At 39.1% G+C, this 23,015-nt stretch overlaps 1 protein-coding gene across 17 annotated transcripts in view; it reads right to left on the reverse strand.

Annotated features, from left to right (window-relative positions):
• Positions 1 to 23,015, reverse strand: part of NLGN4X (neuroligin 4 X-linked) — a 338,826-nt gene that overhangs the window by 254,463 nt on the left and 61,348 nt on the right. For all 17 annotated transcript variants that reach the window (NM_181332.3, XM_005274564.4, NM_001282145.2 and 14 more), the window contains one exon: positions 6,491 to 7,267. In NM_181332.3, the coding sequence (NP_851849.1) occupies positions 6,491 to 6,962 (472 nt within the window). In that variant the 5' untranslated portion in view covers positions 6,963 to 7,267. The remainder of the gene's footprint in view (positions 1 to 6,490; positions 7,268 to 23,015) is intronic.

A 23,015-nucleotide genomic window follows, 5' to 3' on the forward strand; every position in this document is an offset into this window, starting at 1 on the left:
CTAGAATCAAGGTATCAGGAGGGCTGTCGGGCTCCTTGCTGGAAGCTCTAAGGAAAAATCTGTTTCCCTGTCTCTTCCGGCTTCTAGAGACTGCCACCTGCGTTCCTTTCTCCTGGCTCTCTCATATTCAAAGCCAGCAATGTCCAGGTATCTCTTTCTCACGTTGCTTTACACCAACTCTGATCTCCTTTTGAGTCTTCTGCATCCACAGTGGAGGGTCTCTGTTAATATATATGAGAATCCAGGATAGATTCTCCCTATTGGAAGGTCTGCTGATTAGCAAACCTAATTCAATCGGCAACCTTAATTCCCCTTTGCCATTTGAAGTCATTATTTAAGGCAGAGTATTGAAGAAGTCAGGTGCCATGCCTCCAACCTATTCCCAGGTTCCAGGAATGGGCGAGTTGGCTGGGGGGTAGGGGTGGAGGGCGGTGCTTGCACATCTCTCAGGGACCATGACTTTTCTGCCTACAAGTACCTATCTCTCAAAATTAGGAATGCTTGTATCTCTCACAATCTCAGCCTCTAAGGCATGTCTGGCATATAATCGATGCTCAAAAATATTTTGGACAGTGAAGTGAAGTAGTGCCTGCTCATTCCAGACACCTTATGGTGAGAACTGTCCTTCTCCCCCTGCCAACTGGTATACACAAGAACAGCCCAGTTTTATCTCTTCTTACTCCTGAGTCAAGTGGGCCAATCAAAACCCCGCCCTGGGATTTTTAGTATGGAATTATGGAACTTTGTCCCTCACTGGTGGTACTGAGAAAAACAAAATGCAACTAACAAAAACTGCAGAGAACCCTCTTACTGCCATTTAAAGCAAGCCTATTTCCAGAAAGAAGCAAAGAACGAGATATGAAGATTGGTGATGTCCTTGGATTCAATGCTTCCAGGTGTGTCTAAAGTCTAGCTGCATCCCTGCCATTCTGCCAATCTGATTTCTCAACTTTTACAGTAAGTTTGGATATCCCATAGCCCTTCTAATAAATTTCCATTTTTTCCCTCAAAGTCAGATTGAGGCTAGGTTGCCTTCTACCATTTGAACACAAATATCTCTTGACTAATGCAGAATGCCAGAAAAGTTTGTAAGACCCTCAGAAAAGATGGGAGCTATTCAAGGATGAAAACCATGCTATAAATTATATCTTGAATTAGATCCAGTGGTATCTATAAAAGAAGCGAATACATTTTTTTTTTGTAAAATCGCTAGCAAAGCTGGTTGACTTTCCAGCTTCTTTCCCTGTTGTTCTCCTGCCACCCTTTCATCTTAGGTAGCTTGTCTACCCTAGAAAGTATAGGGTCAGCAGCTGTGGATAACATAAAAAAGTTTATGGGCCCAGTGCAATGGCTTATGCTGGTAATGCCAGCATTTTGGGAGGCCGAGGTGGGAGGATCACTTGAACCCAAGACCAGCCAGAGCAACATAGTGACACCCCATCTCTACAGAAACTAAAAAGATTAGCCAGGTATGGTGGAGTGCACCTGTAGTCCCAGCTACTCAGGAAGCTGAGATGGAAGGATCCCTTGAGCCCAGGAGGTTGAGGCTGCAGGGAGCTATGAGTGCACCATTGTACTTCACCCTGGATGACAGAGCAAGATCCTGTTTCTAAAAGGAAAAAAAAAAAAAAAAGAACTTTCATGATATGGCACTGCCAGAAACAGCCCATGCTAAAGCACAGCTTCTGTTACCACGCCACACTTAACACCCAAGTAGTAACAACAGCAACGATTGACACCAAACTGCTTAACATAGATTTCTGTGTTCAAATGTTCCATTCATCAGATGCTTTAATAGATGAATCCCTTCCATCACCCATATATTCTTCATGGCACAGCTCAACAACTTAACAGCTTCCATCAAGTTTTTCCTCAAAAAATAGCCTGTCCCTGAGCTGTCACAGAGCTTTCTTTGTTCCCTAACTAGGATGCTCTGGCTTATTATCTACCTCTAGGTTTATTAACTGTGCAAACTCCTACAGGTCATTGTCCATGTCGTGTCTGTTTATATTTCATCATAAAGCTCCATGTTTTCACCAAATAGGTCCTCAATCAACAATCATAGCAAGCTTACTTAAGTCATAGTATTCAAAGAGTCAGGTGTCATCTTGGGGGAAAAAGATGATAGGGACACCTTGCATCCAATAATCTGTTCTTTTTTAATATCTTCCTTTTTCAATTGTATTGCTAGCAAAAAAAAAAAACAACCCAAAATTTCACTTTTCTAGAAATCATAATGGCATTTGCTGTTATGCTACAATGAAAATACAATGATAATGAGTGGTGCTTTGTTTTGTTTTGAGAGGGATTCTCACTCTGTTGCCCAGGCTGGAGTGCAGTGGTGCGATCTCGGCTCACTGCAACCTCCCTCCACCTCTCGAGTTCAGGTCATTCTCCTGCCTCAGCCTCCTAAGTAGCTGAGATTACAGGCGCACACCACCATGCCCAGCTAATTTTTTGTATTTGTAGTAAAGACGGGGTTTCACCATATTGGCCAGGCTGGTCACGAATTCCTGACCTCAAGTGATCCACCCACCATGACCTCCCAAAGTGCTCGGATTAGAGGCATGAGCCACTGTGCCTGGGCGATAATGACTTTCATTTATATTTTCCTTTATATTTCCCAGTATTTTTAGTCCCATGATGAAGAATGGAAGGGCTTCTCGCCCCTGAAATCTTTCAAGAATAAGACCTTAAGATGTATGTCCAAGGATCCAGAGAAAAAGCACAGGTGTAGGTCACTCAGGAAGTGGTTCCATGGGTCTGTCCATTTCCCAAGGCAATCTGGACTCACTTGTGGCTCTTTCTCCTCCAAGCTTTATATTTAATATGATATCTTGTCTGAGCAACTCCTTCAAAATGTGTCTTTTATTTTTCCCTTACTTTTTAACCTCACTTCTAAACAGTATCACTGGTTCTCATTAAAAACCTTAAGTGTTTCCATAACTCATCTTTCTGTGTTCAGTCTCCTTGGGGACCAAGACGAATCACGAACTGTACTGCCATCCCCTCATGTATGAACTCAAGTGGACTTAGTATGTGAGACTGGAACTTCTCGGCTTGACTTTCACAATTTATGTTTAATCAAGCTACCAAGCCATATTCTGCATTGCTTCCTCAAAGTAGTCACTCAGTCACACTCTCTCTGCTATCTCTCTCTCTCTCTCTCTCTGTCACATACACACACACACACACACCATGCAGATTCGGTCAATCGGTCTCCAACTGTTCCTTGTCAACAATGGCCCACGTGTCCTACTAGAGCTTCCGACTGGCTTGACTGACTTTGACCTTATTTGAGCACCTATCAAAAGGTTAAATATGCAATTCAAGTTAATTAATTAGCCTGTTGTCTAACAACAAAGAGAAATTAATAACCTATGAAAATTTAAATAAAGAAATTTGTAAGGTAGGAAATAGTTATAAAGACCCAAGCCTAAGTTTAGTAGATCATGATGCCAGTTTAAATGAAAAGACTCACCTTCAGCAAGACCTGATTTATTTTAAAGGGAATTATAAAAAGTATTGTTTTCTACAGAAAAAAAATATATGTTTCATAAACTATTGTACTACGAAGAAATTTCCAACACTTTTCCTCATGCAAGTTAGTTCTTAAATGTAAGGATAAGTACGTATCTAAAATAGTCTATTTTTGTATTTTTAATATACCTACACATTTTATGAAAGTAGAAACATAGAAATTTGAGCCAATCTGATCAAGGCAGAAAGACAAAGCTAAACAAAAAAAGTAGATTTTTGCTGTTGTTATTGTTTAGATTTGTCTTTCTGGCTTTGTCAGACTGGTCAGAGTGGAATTTTGAATTCCAAATAATAATATTGCTCTCTCTCCTGCTAAATAAAAGCATTGATCTGAACTGAGATACTCCCTAAGAGAAGGCCTTTGGAGAGAATCAGCATGATGCCAACATTTCAATATGTTGTGGATGCGGAGTTCATTCATTTAGTGAATAATTAATAATTAAACATCTAAAGCTCTGCATTGGTTCTTTTTTTGTTTTTGTTTTTTTTTGAGACGGAGTCTTGCTATGTTGCCAGGCTGGAGTGCAATGGCGCGATTGTGGCTCACTGCAACCTCCACCTCCTTGGTTCAAGCAATTCTCCTGCCTCAGCCTCCTGAGTAGCTGGGATTACAGACACGCGCCACCATGCCCAGCTAATTTTTGTATTTTTAGTAGAGATGGGGTTTCACCATGTTGGCCAGGATGGTCTCGATCTCCTAACCACGTGATCTGCCTGCCTCGGCCTCCCAAAGTACTGGGATTACAGGCGTGAGCCACCGCGCCTGGCCTGCACTGGTTCTTCGTTGATAGAGTTAAGAAAACAAGCAAGCAACCAAAAATAAAAACTCCTAACCCAATAGGCTGTGACTTGTGGATGGTACAAACATGCAGGGCTGTAGCTTTGAACTCTCACCAGCAAAATTCTAAAGTTTACACATCGTGGGGAGATCGATTCTACCTTTTCAGTCACTATTAGATTTCTGATTCCCTTGTCAAGATCATATGCACATATTGCTTCAAAAAGCCTAAAGATCTAAACAAGTGGAACTGGGTTTATTATGAAGTTTGGATTACTTTTTCACTGAATAGCATTTTTCACATATTTACATTCCTCAAATTTTAATTCAATACCGAATTGCAATGAAACGGCCACACCGTTTGTGGTCTCCATCCACACAATTGTACATACAGGGCTCTGCAGTCAGGGAGGCTATTGATTCTTTTTCATGGGTGGTCTCATTCTGTCCAACTCCTATATGAGGAGGCCTTCTATTTGAAGTGCATTCATTGTTGCCAAGGCTAGCTCTACAAAATCACCAGACTCTAGCACATCCAAAGTATTATGAAAGCAATTTTAACCCTTTGTCCTGTTTGGGGGGTTTTCTCCCCATTTTTGTCTTCCTTTCTTTTTGGTTTTTGTTTGAATAGTTCATTATGAGAAAGATCTCAACCCAGGTGGCTGCTCAAATGAGAACCCTAATTGCTTTTGAGAGCTCTTATTCATCTCACACACACACACAAAGAGGGACTGTTAGGCACGGAGACAGCTCAGAACACCCCATGGAAGTACAGCGTCCAAATGTCAGTTTAACTCCTTGAATCACATTCAGACCTGGACTTTATGAGATAATTGAGAGGTCTGTCACCATAACGACAAGGGCAATATGCCAGAAACCACTAATATAATGAAGCAGAATCCTTTAATTTCTTTCTCTGGGCTGTTCTTTGTAATCTCAATGACAATTTGTAACCTCAGTGACACACAACCCTGGTATGGTTTTTCATGACACTCTACTTAAACTATCTGGCATTTATATGGAGAAAGAGTAATCTGATAGATGCAAAACAATTTTGGAGATCAGTGGATTAACGTCGTTGTTGATTTACTATTTTCAGCCAAATCTTACTGAAAAATGTTTTCCAGGGATTGAAGTTTAAAAAAAAAAAAAAAGAAGAAGAAGAAATTTCTCCATAAAAGAAATTTATCACACTTTCCACGAAGAACTTTATACAAAGGACACACTCTAGTTTCTACATTAGATACATCTATCATTCCCACAAATTAACTTCCTTTCTTTCCAGGTATATTTTATTCTCTGTTGTTCTTTCTCCTCATCTAAAAACGGCATATGGAAATGCTAACTGGGAAATGTGATACCATTATGGCATACTTTAGTCTGGTTATTCTTCCAAGGAAATCTGAATTTGAAATCTATACAGACATAAAACTATTCATGTTTTACTAACATTAGGTTAATATATTAAACGTTATTGTGTCTACAGACTTTCATTGTTGTTTTATATAAAAAAGGAAATTTTTAAAAATACAAACGCATTCATCTCTAATGTAGCTAGAATCATCTGATTACATTTTGCCACTTGATTGCAGCGAATATTGGAAGAAAAGAACATCCAAATTTACGTTAAGAAAACCGATTCTAAACAATGAAATCCAACCATTGTATGAACTATCCCCTACTTGTATATTAAAAACAATCAAGTTTTTCTTTGAAAACTCAAAAAAGGTGCTAATATCTTAAGTCATTAAGGCAGAAAGAACCATTTTCTCTATCTTTCAGTTTGCAAACTGGAGCATAATAGTGTACTTAATTCTATTATTTTTCTATAGATTCATTCCTTTACAGATGATTCAGGTATAACATGCAACATTATATGCTCATATTTATTTTCATCTGCAAATAAGCATTATAAAAAGTTAAGAAGGCAATATATGAAAATAATTAAAGTTATTATTTATAGTTTTGTCCAGTCAGTAGATGGCCCAATACATACAAGTGGAACATGTGGTAAGTTGCTGCAAGAATTGCATTTGGAATATGAAAAATAAATTAAAATAAAATAAACGGGTTATAGAAGAGATCATGCATGAGACATTATAAAACCCTCCTAGCAAATCTCTCTACACACTGCACAAGAGGTATTGTTTTCTGTTCCAGTGAGGTACTCACCATCTTCCGTGGGCACGTAGATGTTTAAGTAAAGGCAGTCTTCATTTTGATCTTGAACATAGGTCATCAAAGTATCCAAATTGGCGGTAAACCAGATGGGCAGCATGTCATGCAGTAAGGATCTCTCATCCAGGTGCTGGGGGCACACAGCAGCAAACTGAGTAGTATTTCGGATGCCAGTCCAGGAGGACGGGGGTTCTGGGGGCTGAAACCGCCTCTCTCCAGTGGGGGGTGAGGCATAGGGGACCCCTAAGTACTGCTCCACTGGACCCAAGATCTCATTGGGTAACGGTGTTCTTAGGCCCCGGATTTTGCCATAATTTGTGTTGACAACTGGATACTGTGCTTGGCTGTCAATGAGGGTGAACTTGATGGCAAGAGCAGTTAACCACAGGAGGACATTGGAGTTTAACATGACGCAGACCGGGGTGAACAACAAAGGAAGCCATAGCAGTCCCTGGGGCCGTGACATGGTTCAAATCTGCATCCACATCCACAGCTGTCCCAGTGATGTGGCTCCAAGGAGACAAAGCCCAGAGGCGAGCCTGCAGAGAGATAGGGCTTTCCAGGGAGCAGTAGACCTGGGAGAGACTCTCAGACTGATCACAGACAGAGCCTGAGGTTAAGAACAAGCACAGCCGTTTTCTTGGCAGCCCATTGCAAGGAGGCAGCCCTCCCTTAATCCTGAAACTGGATTCCAGCAACTGCAATGCTCCAAGGAAGCTGTGATCATCCAACACCTCCAGGGACAATTTCTTATGAAAACTCCAAGGCAGCCTAAAAGAGGAAGAAAGCAGACAAGAATAATGAAGCCACACAACGACCACCTAGAACACTGGCTGGCTCTTCCACGAAATCCACAACATCTCTCTATGAAATTCCTATTCATTTGTATAGAAATGTGTATAGTGCCATCTCCACATAGTAGGCAACAGCAAGAACATCACCTGTCTTTATTTATTTTGTTTTTTTTAGAGATGGTGTCTTGCTATATTGCCCAAGCTGCAGTGCAGTGGTGCTGTCATAGCTCACTGCAGCCTCCAACTCCTGGGCTCAACCCATCCTCCCGCCTCACCCTCCCGAGTAGCTGGGACCACAAGCATGCACCACTATGTCCGGCTAATTCGTTGGATTTTTTTGTAGACATTGGGTCACCCTATGTTGTCCAGGCTGGCCTCAAGGGATCCTACCCCTCGACCTTTCAAAGTGTTGGGATTACAGGCATGAGTCACCATGCCTAGCAGCCACCACTTGTCTTAATTCCTCTGTACATCCTATCACCATGAACAATGCCTGACATTTAGAAAACACTAAACAAATCTGTGTTGAATGATCAAACAGATGTTCAAGAGTTATACAGGTTATGCAGATTATAGTAACAACACCTCCCAGTTTTGCTATTGTTTACCAGACTGGTTATCAATACATGGGTACTTCCAAAACACTGTTTCTCAAATGTTTAAGGAAATTGTCACATTTTCCTAAGGAGACATGCATGGAGCTCTAAAAGTTTTCCAGTAGGAGAAAGATGGAAGCATGCATCCAAGTCAATCTGGCATCATGATGTGGATATTTATCAGGCCACAAAGGGAACATCATCAAATGAAAAGAGTGTAGACTTTGGACACAAATTCTCCTTGGTCTGGTCAAGTGCATATATATTTAGGCTACACACTTCACTGCTCTGAATCTCAGTTTCCTTGTAAAACACTATACAAGATGGTGCATTTCAAGTACATGCTGTAGTGCTAGTTTCTTGAAGACTTCATTCATAATTAAAAGTGTTGATACAATTATCCTGACTTTCCAGTAAGCCACTGCATGCCTTAGAGGGTATCCTCTTCACCCTTCAGCCCATTTAAAAAGCTGAGGCTGCATTTGAGTTACTTTCCCATTGAGCCTGGAGTCAACTTTTAAAGGGTCACCACCTCAATTTGTCTTTACATAGATAATATAACTATCCCTACATAAGTCGCTGCTCCTGTGACAATAAAAGAATGCTGTGCAGGAATGGACATTATGTTGTTAAATGATCCCCTAGGAACAGAAAATATTTCACTAGGTGTTGCAAGGAGGGTGCCTTTAGCATGTTCTTCAACTCAAAATATACAAATGTGTTTCTAAGGATTTTGTGGGTTATTCAGAGCATCTGCATCAGAAAATAATTATCCATTTCATTTAAGTAATCAGTTGAACAGAATACATCACATGGCTTTTTTTTTTTAAATAAAACATATTGGAGCTGGATCTATCACAGAACAATAATACAATGGGGGGAAATTCCATAGTACATGACATCCTGGGAAAAGTTCACCAGAGTTGGATGAAAACGCACTGAAAATCTGGATTATAACTTTGAAAGTGACAAATAGCATCTCACCAATGACTGATTTAGGTGTTTGCTTCTATCTCTGAATTCTACTGTAGACAACATTTGGATGTCTGCCATACAGCAATCCCATTTCTGAATAATTAAGAGACAGACAAGAAAAACAAAGAGGTGATGTCCTGTTTGGTTGCTTCTTTCCTGAAAGATTTTTAACCAGAGGTAGCTGTTACTTTCAGCCTGGGGGCCAAAACCACTCTCAAATATTTAAAAGCTACTTGGGACTAAATGAGATAGTATGTATCCTCAAGGTATTGCACATTCCCTGAAACACAGAGCTCAATAAATGTAGAATTCAGTGGGTGGACTTCTTCCAAGGTATATAAAGTTAGTTCCATAAGGAATTCCAGCCCACACCTTAAATTCTCAAACTCAATGTGAATGAGACTATGAGTCACTTATTGGTTATGACTGATCCAGCTGTATGATCAAAACCCTCCTCTGCCTAAATCTACATCCCACAAGGTCCTGATGGGCAGTGAGCGATTATGAAGCAGCAGCAACCTAAGAAGACGCGCCCAAGGGCATCTGTACACTTACTAGGTCTAGATTGGGCATTCACAATATTCACAGGTTGAGAGCTATCTTTTTTCACTCCCTTGTTTTTTGAAATTTGGCTAATTTGCACAAAATTGCTATAATTAAAGCCCAGCGTTTCCCCATCTCAGTATAAATGACATTGTGAACCATATAATTCTTTGTTGTGGGGGCGTCGCCTGTACAATGTACAGTATTTTGCAGCATCCCTGACCTCTACTCACTAGATGATAGTGGCACCTCCTACCCAGTTTTAACTATGGAAAATGTCTCTAGATAGTGCTAGGTAGCCCAGGGGCCAAAACCACCCTCAAGGGAGAATTACTGGTTTAAGGCATCAAGTATAAAATTATAGTGGCTGTGTAAATGATTAAGTATCTGTAGGTATATTTAGTGAATATAATTAGTGCTGTCGTGTATGTGTGTGTGTGTGAAAATATAGTCATATTCAAAAAATTGGCAACTTGTAAATTTTTAGCATTACAAGAAATGTTGATATTGAAGATATCAATATTTATTATTGATATCAATCAAATGTGCATTATCATCATTAAAGAACCACTGTAAATTTAACCAACCTACATCCTTGTGGGGAAAAAAAAAAACAAGATCTCCCATGTGAGTTTCAAAAACTGAAAAGGATTTCACAAAGGGTGAAACGTGGTTATTGATAGTTATTCATAAATAGGTAGATATTTAATATCTCTAAGATAAAGAGGATATGCTACAAAATGAATTCTAAAATTGTTAATGGATTAAAAATTTTAATAAAAAAGGTGAAAACTTCATTAAATATATACATATACTTTGGGAGTGAAGAAGGGCTATATAGCATGTATTCTCTGCAAAGACTGCATAAAATAATAATATCTCAGAATGGCATTTTGACTAATTTATAACTTGATTGGGTATTTTAAATGATTCTCTGCAGGGCAGTTATTCTGACTCAGGTTGCAATTAAGGTGAGGCTCACACTCTTCAGGCCTATCAGAATTTAAAGTGTTCTGAATAAAAATTGTAATAAATTTCTCCCCAAAGTATACATTCCTTAAATTGAGATTGGTTTAATTTTAAGATACGTATTTAATTAAGGTGAGCCCTGATGACAGGCATTTTGGTATCTGGACCTTAAAAAGAATAAAGTCACATCTCCTGGGTGTTTATGGCCTTGTCTTTCAAAGGCCTGGGAATATATTAGAAAACAGGAAGCTTTGTAGATGCTTTTAAAAAAAAATAGGATAACTGAGAAAGAGCACCCTTCCCTGTGTTTTACTTCCAGCCACGCTGAACGTCTGGGCCCACTGAGATGTCTGCTGCCAGGAGGTTTCTGAGAACAAGAAGCACTTGAGACATCCGCTTCCATCTCACATTCATTACGGAGCATCCAGAAAACAAAAGCAACAGAATCTGATCCTTGCCCAAATTACTGGGCTTGTACAATAATCCTTCTATACTGTTCACTAAGAAAGTCTAGAATAGCTATTCCCAAAACTCTGCATAAGCTACAGACATCTCTGGCTTCCTTTTCTTTTGTGTCTAGTGGAGACAACATTTTAGGGTACCTGAGTGGGATGTGGCTTATCTTTTGTTCTGAAGCCCAAAGCTCTATGCTGTTACCAAAATGAATGACCACTCTCCACGCATGGCCATGCATGCATGCACACACAAGTCCTCCATCCCTGCTCAACATCCATCCAACACCAGCAATCTGCCACTTTGTCTATTTTTGTACATGTAGATATTTTAATATTCTGGTTTTTATTTCCCCTCCTACATAAAGGAGATTACAATCTAATTTGCCTTTTGTCAAATCTTAAGAGTTCTTTGCACAGTCACCTATGCAGTTTCTATTAAATCTAAAAATGAAATCCCATTTAAAAATCCACCATTTTTCACCAGAGAAATGCAAGTCAAAACCACAATGAGATACCATCTCACACTAGTCAGAATGGCTATTCATAAAACATCAAAAAACAACAGATGCTGTTGCGGCTGCAGAGAAAAGAGAAGGCTATATACACCGTTGGTGAGAACGTCAATTAGTTCAGCCATTGTGTAAAGCAGTATGGAGATTTCTCAAGGAACTTAAAAGAGGAACTACCATTTGACCTAGCAATCACATTACTGGGTATATATACAAAGGAAAATAAATTGTTCTACCAAAAAGACACATGCACATGTATGCTCATCACAGCACTATTCACAATAGCAAAGACATGGAATCAATCTAAGAGTCCATCAACAGTAGATTGAATAAAGAAAATGTGATGCGTATATACCACGGAATACTATGCAGCCATAAAAACAAATCAGCCGGCGCGGTGGCTCACGCCTGTAATCCCAGCACTTTGGGAGGCCGAGGCAGGTGGATCACGAGGTCAGGAGATCGAGACCATCCTGGCTAACACAGTGAAACCCCATCTCTACTAAAAATACAAAAAATTAGCTGGGCGTGGTGGCGGGCACCTGTAGTCCCAGCTACTCAGGAGGCTGAGGCAGGAGAATAGCGTGAACCCAGGAGGCGGAGCTTGCAGTGAGCCAAGATCGCGCCACTGCACTCCAGCCTGGGCAACAGAGCGAGACTCCGTCTCAAAAAAACAAAACAAACAAACAAAAAAAAACAAATGAAATCATGTCCTTTGCAGCAACATGGATGCAGCTGGAAGCCATTATTTTAAGTTAATTAATGCAGAAACAGAAAATCAAATACCACATGTTCTCACTTAGAAGTGGGAGCTAAACATTGGGTACTCATGGACATAAAGCAATAACAAACTTGGGACTACTACAGCAGGGAGAGGGAGGGGGAAAAGGTAGAAAAACTACCTGTTGGGTGCTATACTCCATACCTGTGTGGCAGAATCAACTGTACCTCAAACCTCAGCACCATCCAATACACCCAGGTAAAAAATCCTGCAGATATATCCCATGAATAAAAAAAAAAAGTTGAAATTTTAAAAAATTGTCAAATAAAGATTGAATATGTTTAAGGTAAAAAAAAATGTTATTGGTATACACACAAAAAAAATTTACCATTTTGAACCATTATCTTTACTATATATTAAGCAATTGGAGAGTAAAAATGTGGCCAGGCATGGTGGCACATGCCTGTATTGCCAGGTAATTGGGAGGCTGAGCCAGGAGCATCACTTGAGCCCAGGAGTTTGAGTTTAGCCTGGGCAAATTAGCAAGACCCCATCTCTTAAAAAAAAAAAGGATGCCAAATGTTCTATCTTCAAGATGATCTTGCACCATATGGCAGCTCAAGGTATCAACTCCATCACCTCCCTCACCATTTCTGTTCTTCCACTGAAGTTTAATGGGTCAGGAACATGCATGAGCCATAATTGTAGAAACCAGAATTTTCAGCAGGGGCCTCAGCAGAACCCAAACTAAACCCAAGGGTAAAGAGTTAATGGCTTATATGTTGCCCAGCCAAGACGAATTGGATAAGAGGATATTCCACAGATAGGAAAGACAAATATACCATGAGGAATAGGGCATACATCTTTCTAGAGTAAACTATGTGGACAGAAAGATCCTACACCGACCAAAGAAATAAGACAACACCAAAACTTAGAAGTTGGCTTAGTCCATTCAGGCTGCTGTAACAAAATATCATAGCTTGGGGGGCTTATAAACCACAGATATTCATTGCTCACAGCTCTGGAGGCTGGAAGTCCAAGATCAAGGCATGGTAGATTCAGTGTATGGTGAGGGCCTGCTTCCTAGAGGGCTGTATTTTCCTTATAACTTTGGAAAAGGGGAAAAGGGCAAGGAATCTCCCTGGGGTATCTTTTAAAATGTCATTAATACCATTCTGGGGCATCCACCCTCATGATCTCATCAGCTCCAAAGGCCCTACCTCCTAGCACCATCACTTTGGGGTTACAACGTCAACATGGGGATTCTGGAAAGACACAAGCCTTCAGACCACAGAAGTATCCCGTAAAGATCACTATGCTAGGTAAGGGTACGTAATGGGGTAAAGAAGGAGTTCCTGCCCACTAGGAGCTTACATTCTCATGAAGGTATCTATCCCTACCTGTGATGCATTTTTTCTTCTTATTCATCTTCTGCATATCTAAAGCTAGCACAAGGACTGGCAAATAATAAAAGTGCGTTAATGCTTGATTTTCTGTGTGAAATTAAATGTTTTCCAGACACAATTTCTAAATCTAAATCAAATGATTTGCAGATCTCTCTAGGCTTTGTGTTCATCTCTCTCACCGAACTCAAAGTCATATGTCCTCAAGGTCATGGAGGCATACACCTGTAGTGCCAGCTGATAACATGGTATGTGCCACCATGCCTGTAGTGCCATGACTATTTTCTCTTCAAGAATATAGTCAGATAGACATCTTATGGTGCTCCTAAAAATCTCATTCTCCAATCCCCAAACTGCTTCCATGCTTTTGTTTCATATTTGGATAACTAGATCATTACTTTTCTAGTAATTCAGCCTACACTCAAAGCCATCTTTGTTGGTTTCTCCACCATAAATCCACATCCAGGAAGGAGTCCTCAAATCTACAGATAGCCTCAACATAGGACAAGAGGCTCAATGTCATTCATTATTGGTGAAATGCAGATGAAATCACAATAGGATTAATAAAAATACAAACAAACAATGATACCAAGTACTGAGCAACGATGTGGAGCAACTAGAACTCCCATGCATCAGGAAACATGCACGGAAATGTCCACTGCAGCCCCATTTTTTTTTCTTCAACTTTTAAGTTCCAAGGTACATGTGCAGGATGTGCAGGTTTGTGACATAGGTAAACATGTGCCATGGTGGTTTGCTGCACAAATCAACCCATCACCTATGTATTAAGCCCAGCATCTATTAGCTAGTCTTCCTGATGCTCTCCCCTCCGGGCATCCCCAGACAGGCCCAACTGTGTGTTGTTTCCCTCCCCCATGTGTCCATGTGTTCTCATCATTCAGCTCCCACTTATGAGTGAGAACATGCGGTGTTTGGTTTTCTGTTCCTGCGTTAGTTTGCTGAGGATAAATAAGCCCCAATTATAATTGCAAAAAATATTGCCACAATCCAGATATCCATAAATAGGATAATGAATAAATAAATGTTGGCATATTAAAACAGAAGGCTTTACAAAACAGTCAAAAATGAATAAAATACAGATATATGGAGGAAAATGGGAAAATCTCAAACATAAAAGGCAAGTCACAGAAGACTACAAATAGTGTGATTTTATTTACATAATAGTAAAACTAAACAATATATTGCTCAGAGCTATGTTTGTCCTGAAATATACAGCAAGGACAGTATGAAAACCAAATCTTGGGGGATTAGATTTCACTGAAAGGTAGGAGAGAGGGAAGCAACTCACACTGATATATAAAAACAGTGGGAATGTTCTCTTTCCTTGTCTGTCAGTGGGTACAATACTATGTATCTGATTATTTTTTACTCTTTAAAATGAATATCCAAATACACATTTTGATACACTTTTTATGACTATGATTATTTTACAATGAAAATTTAATCAAAAGATTCTCATCCGTATAAGTTTTACTCAATGACTTTATTTTCCCATGTGCTATCAAACTATCTTGGATTTAAAAATTGAAGGGAAAATATAAACTGTTTTCTCCATGATTATGCGACAAGCCCAAGGCAATAGACCATCCACCCACATATTACACAGAAAAGCCCTGGGATCCTGCCAGCCATGGTAAGCACAGTCATGGAACCTGAGCCTGCTATAGCCCTGGTCACTAATTAGCCAAGTGCCCTCGCCATCAACTCCCTCCACTGCAAAACGAGGGCTTGTGCCAGTGACCTCTTAAGTTGCTTTCACCACTAAGACGCTCTGACATCTCAGACTATTATCTCCAAAGCAGACTCAGTATAGGAGCCCAGTGGGAACAGAAAGTCCTTCACTGAAGTAGCAAGGCATAACTGAAGCGAGACAATCCCTACTGCAGAAAATGGCAAGGTTTAGTGTGCCAGAAACAGTGAGAGTCAGTGTGGCCTTCCAGCCTATTCTTTAAAAATATTTCTTTCAGTTGCAGTCAGGGAGACAGAGAGTAGAATGATGGCTACCAGAGGCTGGGAAGGGTAATGGGAGAGAGAGAGAAGTGAGGATGGTTAATGGGCACAAAAATATAGACAGAATGAATAAGATCTAGTATTTGATAGCACAACAGGGTGACTGCAGTCAACATTAATTTACTGTATATTTTTAAATAACTAAAAGCATAATTGGAAAGTCTGTAACACAAAGAAATGATAAATGCTTCAGGTGATGTATACTCCATTTATTCTAATGTGATTTTTACACATATGCCTATATCAAAATATCTCATGTACCCACAAATATATACACCTACTATGTACATGTAAAAATAAAATATGTTTTCCAACACCAGATAACCTTTATTAGCAGGATATAAAAATGCCACCAGATTTTTCTTTACTTGAATTGTACATGAGGATTTGAAATGAGTATTTACTGACTTTTTCCCAGAATTCACTGTACTAATTGTACTGTACAAATAATCTTCTTCTTTCCCCTCATATATAAGAGGAGTTGTTTCAAGAGTTTGTACTTTAACTTATCATATATGAAATTATATCTATAAAATAATTTTTTTTTTTTTTGAGACAGAGTTTCACTCTGTCACCCAGGCTGGAGTGCAGTGGTGAGATCTCGGCTCACTACAACTTCTGCCTCCCGGATTATCTTGCCTCAGCCTCCTGAGTAGCCAGGACTACAAGCATATGCCCCCATGCCCAGCTAATTTTTTGTATTTTTAGTAGAGACAGGGTTTCACCATATTGGCCAGGCTAGTCTTGAACTCCTGACCTCATTATCCGCCCGCCTTGGCCTCCCAGAGTGCTGGGATTACAGGCGTGAGCCAACGCGCCTGGCCAAAAATAAATTTTAATATATTATACGTATAGATATCTTCAAACTAACCTGCTATATATAGAGAGAGAATAATATAAAATATATTATTCTATATATAAAAAACATATATATTACAAAATATATTATAAAAATAAAATATAAATAAAATATATTATTCTATATATAATATAGGATATAAAATATATTATTCTATATATAATATAGGATATAAAATATATTATTCTATATATAATATAGGATATAAAATATATTATTCTATATATAATATAGGATATAAAATATATTATTCTATATATTATATAGGATATAAAATATATTATTCTATATATTATATAGGATATAAAATATATTATTCTATATATTATATAGGATATAAAATATATTATTCTATATATTATATAGGATATAAAATATATTATTCTATATATTATATAGGATATAAAATATATTATTCTATATATTATATAGGATATAAAATATATTATTCTATATATAATATAGGATATAAAATATATTATTCTATATATAATATAGGATATATAATATATTATTCTATATATAATATAGGATATAAAATATATTATTCTATATATAATATAGGATATAAAATATATTATTCTACATATAGAATAATATAAAATATAATAAAAAACATATAAAATATATTATTCTATATACATAGAATAATATAAAACATTCACAGGAGCTTAATACCTCAATATTTTGCTTGGTTATTTGGAGAAATACTTTATATATATAAAACATAGAAGCTTAATATTTCAATTGGTTAGTTTGAAGAAATAATATAATAGATAAAAGAAATATTATATTTAGGAGTTTAATTGCTTTAATATTTTGGTTGGCTATTTGCAGAAATACATATAAAACATAGATAGGAGCTTAATATTTCAGTTGGTTAGTTTGCAGAAATATTTATATATAAATACGTGGAAAGAGAGAGAGGGAGAAAGAGAGGGAGAGACTGACAAATAATTAGTTTGGATATATACATTTTTTGAGGTTTAAAGAGATTTATATAGATACAATACATTAAAACTTATTTTATCCATGTCATTTCATGCATGTGCATATGAACATATATATTCGAACTAACCAAGTGAAATATTAAACTATTAAGCTGCTTAGGTTCAGGAATTTTTCCTACTCCATTCCCTGAAAATCCCGTGTTCCATGCCTTTATGCTACAGATAATCAATACTACCTGTTGCATATGATGCTGATCATCTGTTTTCAGAGAGATGGTCCTACATAAGAGCAAACTAAGAACAACAGGCTCAAATGCACTATAACAGGCACAAAAACACCTACTCATGTGTGTATTATGTATCTGGGAGGTAGTATGGGGCAGAGGTTTTGTGCAGTTTTATGACTATGATTCAAATCCTGGCTCTCACTTTAACTCCATCAGCAACCAGAGAAGGGTGTATACACCATTGTGATGGTTAATGCTGAGTGTCAACTTCATTGGATTGAAGAATGCAAAGTATTGATCCTGGGTGTGTCTCTGAGGGTGTTGCCAAAGGAGATTAATATTTGAGTCAGAGGGCTGGGGAAGGCAGACCCACCCTTAATCTGGGTGGGCACCATCTAATCAGCTGCCAGCAAATATAAAGCAGAGACAGAAAAACATGAAAAGACTAGACTAGCTTAGCCTCTAAGTCTACATCTTTCTCCTGTGCTAGATGCTTCCTGCCCTCAAACATCAGACTCCAAGTCCTTCAGCTTTGGGATTCGGACTGGCTTCCTTGCTCCTCAGCTTGCAGATGGCCTGTTGTGGGACCTTGTGATCGTGTGAACAAATACTACTTGATAAACTCCCCTTTATATATCTATCTGTCCTATTAGTTCTGTTCCTCTAGAGAACCCTACCTAATATAACCATCAATGCTTCCATCTCTTATGTGTAAAATGGGCAGAGTAGCAGATGTAACTCAAGGATATTATTGCACGTGCTATGGTTTGTGTTTGAGAAAGTACAAGAGTATATGAATATACACACCTATATTCACACACCTTACATAAAGATATGCATATGTATGTGATATGGTTTGACTGTGTCCCCACACAAATCTCATCTTGAATTGTAGCTCCCATAATTCCCACGTATAGGGAGAGGGACCCTGTGGGAGATAACTGAATCAAGAGGGCAGTTTCCCCCATACTGTTCTCGTGATAGTAAGTCTCATGAGATCTGATGGTTTTATAATGAGGAGTTCCCCTGAACAAGCTCTCTCTTTTTGCCTTCCGCCATGTAAGACATGCCTTTGTTCTTACCTTGCCTTTTGCCATAATTGTGAAGCCTCCCCAACCACATGGAACTGTGAGTCCATTAAATCTCTTTTTCTTTATAAATTACCCAGTCTCCGGTATGTCTTTATCAGCAGTGTGAAAAAAGACTAATACAGTACATATATGTAAACACATATAAATTTAGAACAATAAGTATTCCCCAAAGAAATCCTAGCTAATTACAATTATTCACTGAGGTACCACTGAATGCTTCCAAGGTGAAACCCATTTTGATAAAATGTAAAGATACACCAATCAAGTACCCATCCTCAAGTAGTAAACACTCCAGCTGATGAGATGAAGCTTGCCTTTCAATTGCTACAATTAAGCCAGCCTGTGCTCCATTGCTTTTCAACTGTTACCATGAAGCCAGCCTGTGCTCCATTGCTTTTCAATTGCTACCATGCAGCCAGCCTGTGGTCCACTGCCTCCCACCTGCTCCTTCTGTGGGATGGTGGGCTTCTGCAGAATGGACTTTGCAATGGAGTGCCCAGAAGATGCTTCTACAATTTTAGACATGTAGAGAGAGCTAGGCCAGAGGACTTCTGTAAAGACAGCATAGAGGGGGTAAGCATTGACATTCAAGAATTAAGACCACCAAGATTTACAAAGAGTGGGGAAGATGATACCACACTGAACATTCACATTATGTCACCATTACTTCCTCAATGCTTACATTCATTGCTAGACTATGATAAGTATCTAAGGGCAAAGCCCAGAGATGACTAATACTTGAACTTGGAAGACAGAAGGTCTTCAGTAAACACTATTAAATTAAAAGGAAGAAAAGAGACACAAGGAAACCAGAAGGAACCAGGACACAGAAGACAGAAAATTGGCAAGGTTAGGTTTCAGGGCATTCTCCTTAGCTCATCTCCTGTGGGTACCACAACCACAGAAGATGAGCTACTTCCACCACCTGCTCCACTCATGTTTCCACCATAAAATTCTCATAGGCTTCACGATGTAGTCCCTATTGTTTTTGCCTGCAGGAATTTCACTCATTGACACAGCAGTAAAGTGTTAGAGTATTACTTTCAGCCAATGTCAAATAAGCCAGTTTCTGAAAAGGTATCACAACTAGTTCTGGGAATATATTTGCCTGCAATTTAGCAAACAAAATAAAGAATTCTAGATACCCAGTCACTTTTAACCTCATTTCCTTTAAAAGGCTTTCTCATTGCTGTATCTGATGGACAGAGATAATATTGATCATGTAAAGGAAATATTTAAGCCAGAGTGGAAGCTGAGTGAGTTCTTCTACAAAGGAAAACTGTCAGTTTGAGTAAGAAAAAAACACTCAATTTCTAAATAGCACAGTTTAACCTGCAGTTAGTACTTCTGACCTGGCACGACCCTCAACTGGCAGTGGGTCTGCAGATGGTTGATCATGTGGACAGTTGGAGGTTAATGTGGACAAGAACAAGTGTGTACTCCCAAGTGCAAGACAGGAGCCAGAACCCTCTGGAGTAATACTGTTGAGTGTATCTCTATGTCTCTTACATAAGGAGCTTCATAACCACTGCCCATACCTCTCCTAATGAACTGTGCAATATCCGAAAAGCTGAGTGTCTTCAGAACGTTTCCCAAGACACCACCTGTGACCCCAGGACCAGCTCCATCTCACAACCCTGGCTAGAGTGCTCCATTTTCTGTAGCACAGATCCTATTTGCTAAGGTTACTTTGTTTTAGGCAGACGGCTCTATCTGAGAAGTTCCTATTTCGGTGTGATGCTTGCTCTGGCAGCCTACACTCTTTTCTCATGTGCTTCTGACAGTGCAGAATGACAAGGTGAGGGCCTTACAAGGTGTTCGGCTCTAGATTACTAAACACCACCTTTCCCACACAGTTTATTTCCTGAGTATGACACTGTACAAGCTCCCAGGAAAGGCAAGCTTCATCCTCAGGCTTGAACCTCATCACCTCCACCCACTCCCCAAAATGTTTCCTCTGCCCTCCCCAGACAGGAATATTAATTTGTGAAAACAGGCTCTATCCCAGTGAGTCAGTTACTCCAGAGAGGCTTCTTGTCCTGGGGTCAGAACTTAACTGAGATCAGACCTTCCATCTCTAGGAAATAACCAAGGCTTCCAAGATCCAGCATATAGACAACAGGCTTCTCATAAAAACCTCTGTGTCTCACATTAGCATGGGAAGGAAGAATAGGATGGAAGAAAAGAGTCGTAAAAGGAAGGCTCTTTTAAACAGGGTTCAGGAAGGAAAGAGGTGCAAAGTCAAGAGACAGAATCAGGGTAGACCCAAGAATATACCTCAGGAATCAAAGGCAACTATCTCCTAAAACTACCTCCAAAGCCTTACAAACATTCAAACAAGACAAAATTCATTAAAATGAAATGTTTTTTGCCAAAAATGTCAGTAAATAGCAGTCAATATTAATTGATATTGACACTTCCAAGCTTTTTAAATGAAAATAACATGAAGATTCTAATCTGCCAGATTCTTCACTTTCTTTTTGACATAAAAATAATTATCTCAGTATAGAATGCTCTATGCTGCAAACTAGTGACTCTCACATTCCCACCTCTGGCAAAATTCCTACTACACATGCAGGTTTTTTAAAGAAAACAGAGGTATAATAAATAAATCAAAACCTTTCCTCTACACAATTCTAAATGCAGATGTTCTCCACCCTAAGTCCAAAAACCCCAATCCCACCCAGGTGTCTTTATTTATTTTTTTGTGAGTACATAGCAGGTGTATATACATATACATATATATATATATGGGGCACATGAGTTGTTTTGATACAGGCATGCAATATGTAATAATCACATCATGAAGAATGGGGTATCATACCCTCAAGCATTTATCCTTTGCCACCCAGGAGTCTTTAGATAGATTCCATGGGTTCTACAAATTGCAATGGGCAAAAGTAATTACATCTTTAGTTTCACTACCATGCACTGAAATTTAGTATTTGCTTCCATTACCCGTGTAGGTAGGACACTTAACACTGTTATCACAGATATCCCAAAATACTGTTTACGCTTATTGTACTTTGAAATTGTGACTATTACGAACCTCTTAAGTAGATCCAGGTACTTAGCACACAATAAAGATGCACATGTATTACTGTAGCCCAGTTTAAATATATCTTTTTATTTTTATTTTTTATTTTATTGATTGTAGAAACAGAGTCTCACTTTGTTGGCCAGGCTGGTCTTGAACTCCTGGCCTCAAGCAATCCTCTCACCTCAGCCTCCCCAAATGCTGGTGTTTACAGGCATGAGCCACTGCACCAACTTTAAATATTAATATTAATATACCTTGGTAACTATTTCAATAAAACCGATTTCCTTTTATGCGTTATTTACCTTATTGTATGACTTAAACATATCATTTTTACAAAATGTATCAATTTTCCACCAAACCGCCAAAGGGATCTGTCACACACACTCACACATGTAGCGTGCACAGCTGAGAATCCTTGGCTAATTGCCAGTCTGTGGTCATCACCTGCGTATCTACCTATCATGACCTAGTGGGGACAGCAAAGGTTACAGCTTTCTGCTTGTGGATAAGGAGCATGTGCATGGAAGGATGAAATGCCACCTCCTCAGCTATCTCATACGAGTCTTATCTGGCTGTTCTCTTCCCTTGGAAGACCTGCCCTGAGCATAAGTACTTGAGAATAAATGGGTCAGGCAACATGGCTCATGCCTATAATCCCAACACTTTCGGAGGCTGAGGCGGGAGGATCACTTGAGCCTAAGAGTTCAAGACCAGTCTGGGCAACATGGCAAAACCTTGTTTCTAAAAATAATTTAAAAATTAGCTGGACATGGTGTTGCATGCCTGTAGCCCTAGCTACTCAAGAGGCTGAGGTGGGAGGATGGCTTGAGCTCGAGACGGGGAGGTTGGTGTGAGCCATGATCGCACCACTACACTTCAGCCCGGGTGACAGAGTGAAACTGTCTCAAAAAAAAAAAAAAAAAAAAAAGAAAGAATAAAAGGCAAATATCTCCACCAGGAGGTCTTGCCTAGCTCTTGCCATACCCTCCCAAGTGAGACAGGTCTTCCTGTCTTCCTAGTCATCTCTCCCCGGTAACCTTTGGTGGAACCTGAGACCACCTCAGCTGAGCTTCCCTAGAGGCCACAGCTGTGCACACAAGTAATGAATAAAAAAACTCTAGCGCTTCTCTCATGTAGAAAATTAAACATCTATGCCACCTGCATAGGGCAGGGAGATCTTTCCCAAGACCAGGGAACCTCCAAGCTAGAGAGCAGTCCCAGCAACTGCACACATGGTCCTTCTCTGTCTGAACCAAAGCTACTTAAATATCAAGACTAAGACGTGAAACTAAAGGAAGGTCAAAGACAAACATGTCCTTCCATTCACAAACACATAGAAAACCACAGTCCAAGTAA

The sequence above is a fragment of the Homo sapiens genome, chromosome X (genome assembly GCF_000001405.40).
Source record: "Homo sapiens chromosome X, GRCh38.p14 Primary Assembly".
Classification (NCBI taxonomy): Eukaryota; Metazoa; Chordata; class Mammalia; order Primates; family Hominidae; genus Homo; species Homo sapiens.